Raw genomic sequence first — 11,268 nt, forward strand, 5'->3', positions numbered from 1 at the left:
TATCTCTGAGTGTCCTGTGTCCTGAGCAGAGCAAGGTGCAAGGCCCTGTACCGGGCACCCAGCAGAAACTTCTGAGAAACTTGACTATGAGGAAGGATGCTTGCCTAGCAATTGGTCAGATGAAGGGCTACGTTTGATACTTCCTTCAGTGTGGAAGGAAGAAATTTGTAAAAACTATTTCCAGAATATGCACACATTTAAAGTTTATAAACCTGAACTTTCCTTAGTAGAAGACACTTAACAAGAGAATACTATTGGCTCTGGGCACTAACCATTTGGGCTGTGGGACCCAGGGAATCTCTCTAGTAAGCATCATCTTTAGTGGGTGACTCCTGGTGGTCCTCCCAGCTCTGGTGGTGCCATGGGGACCTGCCTTGGAGATGCCTTGGTACTGGTACCTTTTGTGTACCAGGCCGTGAGCCTAGGGCACAGGGCCTCTGGCCTACAGATTTCAGGGAGGCAGCTGTGTCATGTGAACCAATACGGCCTGCCAACAATTCTGTCCAGAGTGACTGTCGTTGTCATCGTTAGCGTGTTGCCTGAAAAGCCTTGGGGTCTGGGGGCTGACACTGAAGCTCTTTTTTCCCTCTGGCCCTGTGATGTCCAGCATTACCCAGAACGCCATGCAGGACCAGAGCGCCACAGCCGGGACTCCCGTGATGGCTGGGGGGGCTGTGGCTCCGACAGGAGGATGAGCGAGGGCCGGGGGCTGCCTCCTCCCCCCAGGGGCAGACATGACTACTCGGGGGACCGTGGCTGAAGAGAGGATGACTGAGCATGGCAGGGCACAGCTGATGGGGGCATGATGGACAGGGATCACAAGAGATGGCAAGGTGGTGAGAGAAGCATGTCCGGTCACTCCGGGCCTGGCCACATGATGAACTGAGAAGGGATGTCAGGGCTCGGCAGCTTTGCCTCAGGCGGGGCCTCCCGGGGCCACCCCATCCCACACGGTGGTATGCAAGGCGGGTTCGGAGGCCCGAGCAGGGGGAGCAGGCCCATCAATGCCCGCTTCACTCGCCGCTACCGAGTACTTGGAATCCTGTGTCCTGTCACGTGGCAACAAGGCTATGTTCTGTTAGGAGTTATCCTAAACTGTCTAAAAATATTTTTCTTTAATCTGCTGCCATATTGTAGCTCAATACAATGTGAATTTGTTTTTCATTTTGGGTTTTCTTTTTTTTTGTAATAAATGTGTTTCTGTTCACATACCCTTTAAAAAAAAAAAAGACTTGCATCCAGAATCTATAAACTCTTACAACTCAGCAACAAAGACAAATAATCTTAGTTTGAAATGGGCAAAAATTTTGAATAGATATTTCTCCAAGGAAGGTATACAGTCAGCTGAAATTGCATTAAAAGACATGCAACAACATTACTCATCAGGGAAATGCAAATCAAAACCACTATGAGATATTTCTTCATAAGCACCAAGACAGCTATAATCAAAAAAGACACACAATAATAAGCGTTGACAAGGATATAGACAAATTGGAACCCTCATACATTACTGGTAGGAAAGTGAAGTGGTATAGCCTCTTTGAAAAATAGTTTTGCAGCTTCTTCAAAAGTTAAACGTAGAGTTACCATATGGCCCAGCAATTCCACTCTTAAGTATATACCCAAAAGCACTGAAAACCTATATCCACACAAAAACTTATTCAGGCATGTTCATTACAGCATTATTCATTATACCAAAATGCGGAAATGACTCAAAGGTTCATCAATTGATAAACTGATAAATAAAATGTGGTATATCCATACAATGAAATATTATTCAGCCATAAAAAGGAATGAAGTACAGGTTAAGTTATCCCTTATTCAAAATGCTTGGGACCAGAAGTATTTCAGATTTCAGATTTTTTCAAATTTTAGAATATTTGCATTATACTTACGGTTGAGCATCTCTAATCCCAAAATCCAAAATCCAAAATGCTCCAATGAGCATCTCCTGTGAGCGTCATTTCAGCACTCAAAAAGCTTCAGATTTTGAAGCATTTTAGATTTCAGATTTTCAGATTAGGCATAATAAACTCGTACTGATACATGCTACAAGGCAGATGAACGTTGAAAACATTATGCCAAGTGAAAGAAGCCGGACATTAAAGGTTACATATTACATAATTCAATTTATATGAAATGTCTAGAATAGGCAAATGTATAGAAACAGGAGGTAGATTAGTGTTTGCCAGGGGTTGGGGGGAAGAGAAGACTGGAGAGTGAACACTGATGTGTATGGGATTTCTTTTGGAATAATGAATGTGTTCTAGTATTAACTAGTGTTAATGGTTGCACAGTTCTGTGCACATATAGAACTAAAAACTACCAAACTGTATACTTTAAAAGCATGAATTTTGGCCAGGTGTGGTGGCTCACACCTGTAATGCCAGCACTTTGAGAAGCTAGATGGGAGGATTCCTTGAGACCAGGAGTTCAAGACCAGCCTGGGCAACATGGTGAGACCTCGTCTTTATCAAAAACAAAAATAATTCAGCTGGGTGAAACATGCCTGTTGTCCCAGCTACTCAGGAAGTGAGGTGGGAGGATCACTTGAGCCCAGGAGGCCAAGTCTACAGTGAGCCACACTCATGCCAGTGCACTCCAGTCTGGGCAACAGAGTGAGCCCCTGTCTCTAAAAATAATAATAATAAAAGAATGAATTTTATAATATGTGAATTATAACCGAAAAAACTGGATGAGAAATAAATCAGGTCAAATCTGACTCTGAATTCCCATCTCACTAGGCTGGTGTGCATTCAATCTCAGGCATTCTTTTTTTGTTTGTTTGTTTTTTTGAGACAGAGTCTTGCTCTTGTTGCCCAGGCAGGAGTGCAATGGCCCGATCTTGGCTCACTGCAACCTCTGCCTCCCAAGTTCAAGCGATTCTCCTGCCTCAGCCTCCTGAGTAGCTGGGATTACAGGCACCTGCTACGACGCCTGGCTAATTTTTTGTATTTTTAGTAGAGAGGGGGTTTCACCATGTTGGCCAGGCTGGTCTCGAACTCCTGATCTCAAGTGATCCACCCACCCCGGCCTCCCAAAGTGCTGGGATTACAGAAGTGAGCCACCGCACTTGGCCTCAATCTCAGGCATTCTTAGGACTCCTTCCTCCCCCTTAAGGTCCCCAAGAATCCAGAAAGCTGACATAGACCAAGAAAGAAACTTCTGTATTCAGTTTATAACATGGCTGTTAATGTCTTCATTGTCCCAACCCCTACCATACTTTGAAGTCTTCTGGCTCTCATACTTACATGCTGTACCTGGGGGTGGGAATCTAGGACCATCTTGGGACCCTAGTGTCTATGCTACAGCCCACAGTGCATCCCCATCCTGCTCTGAGTTCCTTACAACTCCACAACCCCCAAGATAAGGAAGGTCTCAAGTCTCCATTCTATGAGAAGCAATGGACCACTCTCTGCTCCTGGGCTTGAGATGTCCTCTGCTTGCCCTTCCCTCTCTAAAACACTGCTTCTCTCTCTCTCTCAGAGGCACCTAGCATAATGAGTCAAGATTTTCCCAAAGGACAGGATGAAAAGATATTTTCAGGCAGCCTCTGCATGCCATGGAGTCCCTGTCTTCCTGCTTAGAGTGGAGGAAATAAAATTTTCTGGGAAGAAAAGAAATTATTATCTCAATATTCAATTCTAACATACCCACACAAGGGCTATAAATTGGTGAAGAATTGTCCTCTCCCCAGCACACTGATTCTAACCTGAGGCCTTGCATTCAGAGAGATAAACAAAGATCTAGGTCTACTCTCTCAGAATCATAGCTGACCTAAGCTAATGATCTCAAGCCCAGGTAGGAAAGAATTGTTAGTCCAATCTGCAAGAAGCAGATGCCAAGACACGATTAAACCTATAAAGGTTTTTGTTTTTGTTTTAAGGGCAATACTTGTAAAGAAAACAGCAGTGGGGAGAGGAAGGGCAGCTGGAGAAGGCTAGTAACACAGTCAGATCATGATTTAAGAAACAGAGAGAGCAGGGCACGGTGGCCCCTGCCTGTAATCCCAGCACTTTGGGAGGCCGAGGTGGGTGGATCACCTGAAGCCAGGAGTTTGAGACCAGCCTGGCCAACGTTGTGAAACCCCGTCTCTACTAAAAATACAAAAATTAGCCGGGCGTGGTGGCAGGTGCCTGTAGTCCCAGCTACTCGGGAGGCTGAGGCAGGAGAATTGCTTGAACCCAGGAGGCGGAGGTTGCAGTGAGCCAAGACGGCATCACTGCACTCCAGCCTGGGCAAGAGTGAGACTCCGTCTCAAAAAAAAAAAAAAGCAAAAGAAACAGAGAGAAGTTGGGGCACGGTGGCTCACACCTGTAATCCCAGCACTTTAGGAGGCTGAGGCAGGCGAATCATCTGAGGTCAGGAGTTTGAAATCAACCTGGCCAACATGACAAAACCCCTTCTCTACTAACTAAAAATACAAAAATTAGCCGGGAATAGTGGTGGGTACCTGTAATTCCAGCTACTCAGGAGGCTGAGGCAGGAGAATTGTTTGAACCAGGCAGGCAGAGGTTGCAGTGAGCTGAGATTGCACCACTGCACTCCAGCCTGGGTGACCAAGCGAGACTGAAAAAATAAGAAGGAAGGAAGAGAAAGAAAGAGAAAGAAAGAAAGAAAGAAGGAAAAAAACCCAAAAACCAAAAAAAAAAAAACACACAGAGAGGGAGAGAAGTTTGGGTAGAAATGTCCTAAACTGCCATGCAGTTAAGGGAAGTTTCAACAAGACCATCCAGAGGCCTTGAGCCAATCAGCAGACAAAAGAACCCCAGGTCTTCCAGAAAGGGATCTGCTTTAGTTAGTATCTCCCAACACTCCCATCAGTGGTGAGAGAGTTTCCCACATATATGGCAACGGGGTTTCAAGGGCAGCAACTGAAAACATGGGTCTCTTACGCTGCTCCCCACAGGAGGAAGCCAGCAGGTACCTGTGAGAGTTCATGAGAGCTGGACAAAGCACAGAGAAGGCTTTCCCTCTATACGCATCTCGCCGAATAGGAAAATAAAGACGATCTGGGTTTTAAGGGTCATTTTAAGAGGCAGCTCAGGGAGATGGAGAGACTGCTGGTTTGGCAGTTGACAGAGCTCCTGAGAGGGGACATGGCAGTACCATGCTAAAGTAAGAAGTGTCCTTTCTTCACTTTGCTACTCTTTAAGACCAAGGGTTCCAATACCCTTATGCTCCAAACATTTTCAGAGTTGTTTTTGTGTTTGTTTTTGTTTTTGTTTGAGAGGGAGTCTTGCTCTGAGCTCTGTCACCCAGGCTGGAGTGCAGTGGTGCCATCTTGGCTCACTAAAACCTCTGCCTCCTGGATTCAAGCAATTCTCCTGCCTCAGCCTCACAAGTAGCTGCTATTACAGGTGACCGCCACCACGCCCGGCTAATTTTGTGTGTGTGTTTTAGTAGAGACGGGGTTTCACCATGTTGGTCAGGCTGGTCTCGAACTCCTGACCTCAAATGATCCGCCCGCCTCAGCCTCCCAAAGTGCTGGGATTACAGGCGTGAGCCACCGCACCCGGCCATTTTCAGAGTTTCTGATAAAACTGCTCTTTCTGTGTTGCTTCACCTGCAGGTCCTGTCCACTCCTCTGGTCCCCTCCTAGGATATGGAATCCATGGGGTAGGGAGAGGACAGTTAGAATGGTGGCCCACTTCTCCATCTGTCTGCCTGCCACCCTGCTCCCTCAGGAGAAGTTCTTTCTCAGGAGGTTCCTCAGCCTCTCATGCAAACACGTCCCTGCGGGTCAAGCCCCCAGTCCTCTAGGCATGAACCCACGTGTCACAATCCTAGGCCAAGGGCAGGTGACTATAACTCAACTGTGTATCTTCTCTACATTTCCTCCACAAAGCAATATCTGAGCCTCTTCCAAAGGTGCCCCCTTTTGCCTAAGAATCCTGTCTTCTCATGGTAAGAGCCACATGCATTAATGCATAAAGTGTGCTTTCTTGAGTGTAAAGGAAGCTGCTGTAGTACTGTGGGAATCTTATTATACAGCAAAGACGGAGGGTACTAACTCCAGAAAATATACGTGTTTTTTGTTCTTTCCCTTTGTTTTGTTTTATGAAACAGAGTTTCACTCTTGTTGCCCAGGCTGGAGTACAATGACGTGATCCCGGCTCACTGCAACCTCTGCCTCCCGGGTTCAAGCGATTCTCCTGCCTCAACCTCCCAAGTAGCTGGGATGACAGGCATGCACCACCACACCTGGCTAATTTTTTAGTTTTAGTAGAGACAGGGTTTGACCATGTTGGTCAGGCTGGTCTCAAACTCCCAACCTCAGGTGATCCACCTGCCTCGGCCTCCCAAAGTGATGGGATTACAGGCATGAGCCACCACACCCGGCTTTCTTTCACTTTGTTTTGTTCCAAACTTTGGCCATCATCCACCACATGAAAATGTGAAAAAATTCACGTGGAATTCTGCTGAGTGTCCTTAGTGGAAGGCAAGACGTCCGAGAACCCAATCCCCCATCTAATAGGAAGAAAAGACTTGCAGTGGGAGGAGGACCCTTCCAAACCAGCCACTCATGGGTGGCCTCTGGGGTCCCCTGAGAACCACTTGATTCTTTCTGAAGTCAACTGGGAGTGAATTTCCAGGCTAAGCCAATACATCGCACAATTTTAAAATGAGAAGAGGCCTTAGATATTGTATCATCTAGAAGTTTCTGTACATTGACCATGGCTTGGATTAGCTGTCTAAATTTCACCCTCTGTATGGAGGTAGGTGGGGGAAACATTAATATGCAAATTCCTGGGTCTTGCCTGTAAGGATTCCAGTTCCATAGATCTTAGGAGATACCCAGAAATCCTTCCTTTAAAAAAGTTCCATGGGGGCTGGGGGGATTTTTAGGGTAGTGAAATTATTCTGTATACTATTACAATGGTGGATGCATGTCATCACACATTTGGCAAAACCTATGGAATGGGCTGGGCACAGTGGCTTACCCCTGTAATCCCAGCACTTTGGGAGGCCAAAGTGGGTGGATCACTTGAGGTCAGGAGTTCGAGACCAGCCTGGCCAACATGGTGAAACCCTGTCTCTACAAAAAAATACAAAAAATTAGCCGGGAATGGTGGTGCGTGCCTGCAGTCTCAGCTACTTGGGAGGCTGAGGCAGGAGAATAGCTTGAACCTGGGAGGTAGAGTTTGCAGTGAGCCGAGATTGTGCCACTGCACTCCAGCCTGGGTGACAGAGAGAGACTCTGTCAAAAAAAAAAAAAAAAAGGAATGTACACCACCAAGAGTGAACCCTAATGTAAACTATGAGCTTTGGTTGATAATGATGTGTCAATCCATGTTAGTTCACCTATTGTAATGATGTTGATGGTGGGGGAGGCTGTGTGGGTGGGTGGGGGATCTGTGGGAACTCTCTGTACTTTCTGTTCAACGTTGCTGTGAATTTAAAACTGTTCTAAAAAAATACTCTATTAGAAAAATAAAAGCTCTATGGGTTTACGAAGCCATCAAAAAAAGAAAAGTAGAATTCTGCCTCCTCAAGTAGAGAGATGGGGCCGGGCGCAATGGCTCATACCTGTAATCCTAGCACTTTGGGAGGCTGAGGTGGGCGGATTGCCTGAGGTCAGGAGTTCAAGACCAGCCTGGGCAACACGGTGAAACCCCGTCTCTATTAAAAATATAAAAATTAGCCAGGTGTGGTGGCAGGCGCCTGTAATCCCAGCTACTTGGAAGGCTGAGGCAGGAGAATCACCTGAACCCAGGAGGCGGAGGTTGCAGTGAACCGAGATGGTGCCACTGCACTCCATCCTGGGTGACAGAATGAGACCCTGTCTCAAAAAAAAAAAAAAAGTAGAGAGATAGACAGTCTTTTAACCAGAGTCCCCTGTGTCACTTTAATGAGCCTTGACCCCAGAAGTGCTCACTCCCATGTGCTGGAGAGTGTTGAGCTGTGAGAGTGTTGCTCCAGCGCCCAGCGCGCTGGAGCAGCACACATCCGTCTCCATGAAAGTCCTATTTCTGAGCCTCAGACACCTCCCACCTCAAGCATAACATGCTCGGGGTAGTCTCTTCCTGACTCTGAGGAACTTCCTTTGAGACTCTATGGCCTGAAGGTTGGTACTCTTCATACAGTTTGGCTCAAGGTTAACAGCTGGACCTTAAGCTCCAGCCAGCTAGGCATGCTCCTTCTCCTGCCCATATCAGCAGCCACATCAGAGTCCAGCACGAGCCAGGGCTCCAGCTCCCAGCTGGAGAGAGTAGTTTTCTGCCTCTTTACAGATTGCCACCTTCCAGCACTAAGTATTCCAGAAACTCCACCTCACATTACAGGGTGCAAAGGTGCCAGGCTTTGGAAAGGCTACAGATGGTTTAGACATCTGCTTTCACACGCAAAAGTGACCTGCCCCTCTGTTTTCCATACTGCATTTGTTCTTATTTTGCTGCAAGAAGCTAGAGTCTTCTCTTACTTTTTCCAAAGTCCCAAACACTTCACTAAGGGAATCTCTAGTAAGAACCTATTTGAGGAGAACCTGTTCCACTGCCCCATTTCTGTGACTTTCTGGAACAGAGGGGAAAGAGGAATTGGCAACATCCCCTCATAGTCCCGTACCTCCACCAAGGTGAGACTCTGAAGCCAATTGACTTATTAAGGTTCATTCCCTGAGAAGTAAGAATAGAGAACCATTCAAAGCTAGTGTCAGTTTTGTTTGTTTGTTTGTTTGTTTTGAGATGGAGTCTCACTCTGTCACCCAGGCTGGAGTGCAGTGTCATGATCTCAGCTCACTGCAACCTCCACCTCCCAGGTTCAAACAATCCTCTTGCCTCAGCCTCCCAAGTAGCTGGGATTACAGGCATGCACCACTGCAGCCAGCTAATTTTTGTATTTTTAGTAGAGACGGGGTTTCACCATGTTGGCCAGGCTGGACTCGAACTCATGACCTCAGGTGATCCACCTGCCTTGGCCTCCCAAAGTGCTGGGATTCCAGGCACGCGCCACCAGGCCCAGCCTAGTGTCATCCTTTTGTGATGTTGCCAGGCCCTTCCACCGAAACAGAAAATAAAAGTCCCAAAGGCTTTTTAGTATTATAACAAGGACACCTGTTTAAAAACAGTCACAGGCCGGGCACGGTGGCTCCCGCCTGTAATCCCAGCACTTTGGGAGACTGAGGCGGGCAGATCACAAGGTCAGGAGATCGAGACTATCCTGGCCAACATGGTGAAACCCCGTCTCTACTAAAATACAAAAAATTAGCCAGGTGTGATGGCACATTAGCCAGGTGTGATGCACTACAGGCACAGCTGGCCTGTAGTCCCAGCTACTCGGGAAGCTGAGGCAGGGGAATCGCTTGAACCCGGGAGGCAGAGGTTGCAGTGAGCCGAGATAGCACCTCTGCACTCCAGCCTGGCAACAGAGCAAGACTCCGTCTCAAAAAAAAAACAAAAAACAAAAAAACAAAAAATAGTCACAGAGCCTTGCTAATGGGGAGAATATCCTTTCCCAGGTATGGATTTGGATCGTATAGTCTCTAGGAAATACCTAATGTTTGTCTCAGAGATGTGTTATTATTTAACAGGTCAACCAGTAAAGGAATCAGCTGTAACAATTCTACCTGTTGGGAAGATTGGAAATAAATTGGCTCCCAACATTCACAACCAGTCATAACACCCAAGCTCATCCTCTCTGCGGAATATGCGATGCAGACAGACTCCCTACCCATCTGGCAGAAGTCCAGAGTGACACAGAGATTGCAGGACTAAGGAAAGAGCCAAGGAGTGAGACTCCCTTCTCTGTAATGGACTGGGCTTTCCCTAATGGATCTTAGAACGGTGCCTTTAAAGTTGCACACCCATCAGCTGGTTCTAATCCTGGGCACAATGACAGATCACAGCACCAGAATTCATAATGGACCCAAAGAAAATAGCAATATTTGTTTTCTAAACTCAATAACGGGCTGGGTGGGGTAGCTCACCCCTGGAATCCTAGCACTTTGGGAGGCTGAGGCAGGTGGATCATTTGAGGTCAGGAGTTTGAGACCAGCCTGGCCAACATGATGAACCCATCTCTACTAAAAATACATAAATTAGCTGGGTGGTGCCGGCAAGCACCTGTAATCCCAACTACTAGGGAGGCTGAGACAGAAGAATCACTTGAACCCAGGAGGCAGATGTTGTGCTGAGCTGAGATCACGCCACTGCACTCCAGCCTGGGCGACAGAGCTAGACTGTCTCAAAAAATTCAAAAATAATAAAAAATAAACACAACAAAGGGCCAAAAAGAAAAATCAGGGCCCAATAAAACACTTCTGACTTTTCTGCATCACTTAGCACAGTCCTTTGAATATAATATATAGGCAATAAATATTTGCTATCAGTTTCAACTAAATAGCTTCCACTATCATTGAACATTAGTTTATCTGGTTTCATCCTTACAGCAGACTTCCTCAGTTAAAAGTCATGAAAAACTATTTAAAAATGTAAGCATCATTAAAATTTCACCCCATGGCATTCAACTCCCCGAGGTCAACAGTGGCAGTATTTTTCATCTGCTCAAGTACAAATCAGCTCTTAGATCATCAGATGGCTGCTGCAGGCCCGGGCTCTTCTTTTCCAAAATAGTTGTTGCACTGTGATTGGAATAAGCACAGTGGCTGCTGTTGGAAGGGGAGGGATGCAGGGAAAAGCTGTGAGGAGGCTTTGTGGGTTGGCAGATGCTACGATTTTCCTCTCGGTGCAGCAGTTGTGTTGAGCTATATGTTTTTGCATAGACACATTCCTTTGGCAAACAGACTGTTCTTTTTCATTTCTGCTTCCAACAGACTGGTGGCATCCTGTGCAGTAAGAGGGAGGCAGGAGGAGGTTCCTCCTCCTCCAGGAGGGCGAACCCAAGGCTGGCTACTCTCATCAGAGCCAGCCCTAGGGATGCAGGCCCCAGGGAAAGCCACAAGGGGTCGTTTCTGTGCAAGGGTGAAATCTGGTTTGAGAGACAAAATACCATTGTTAGTGGATGGGCAAGAAGGAAGCTGGAGATGGCGACTGGCGTTGTGAAAAGGAGAAATTACTTGTAAATTGACTGAGCCATCTCAGCAACACACAACTCCTGGGTCTTTTTCAACAGGTGAAAATTAACTGCTCTCTTGCAACCTTGTGACCAGATTGAAATGAAAATAAGCCCCGAGTCAAATATGTACAAAAAGTTATTAAACAAGCACTTCTTTGCAAACTGGCAAAGAACAATACATATAACCAGTTCTTTCTTTCTTTCTTTGTTTTTTGTTTTTGTTTCTGTTCTGGTTTTGAGACCGAGTCTCACTCT

The 11,268-nt window shown here is 46.4% G+C and overlaps 2 annotated features.

Moving 5' to 3' along the window:
• Positions 284-784: an enhancer, noted in NCBI's record as "H3K4me1 hESC enhancer chr11:122489240-122489740 (GRCh37/hg19 assembly coordinates)". NCBI's record gives its function as "activates a minimal SCP1, AML or CMV promoter by ChIP-STARR-seq in naive H9 embryonic stem cells {active_cell/tissue: H9 hESC(naive)}" and the evidence as "EXISTENCE:reporter gene assay evidence [ECO:0000049][PMID:30033119]".
• Positions 10,733-11,027: a silencer, noted in NCBI's record as "tiled region #14714; HepG2 Repressive non-DNase unmatched - State 12:CtcfO". NCBI's record gives its function as "represses a minimal TATA promoter and a strong SV40 promoter by Sharpr-MPRA in HepG2 cells {active_cell/tissue: HepG2}" and the evidence as "EXISTENCE:reporter gene assay evidence [ECO:0000049][PMID:27701403]".

The sequence above is a fragment of the Homo sapiens genome, chromosome 11 (assembly GCF_000001405.40).
Source record: "Homo sapiens chromosome 11, GRCh38.p14 Primary Assembly".
NCBI classification, from domain to species: domain Eukaryota; kingdom Metazoa; phylum Chordata; class Mammalia; order Primates; family Hominidae; genus Homo; species Homo sapiens.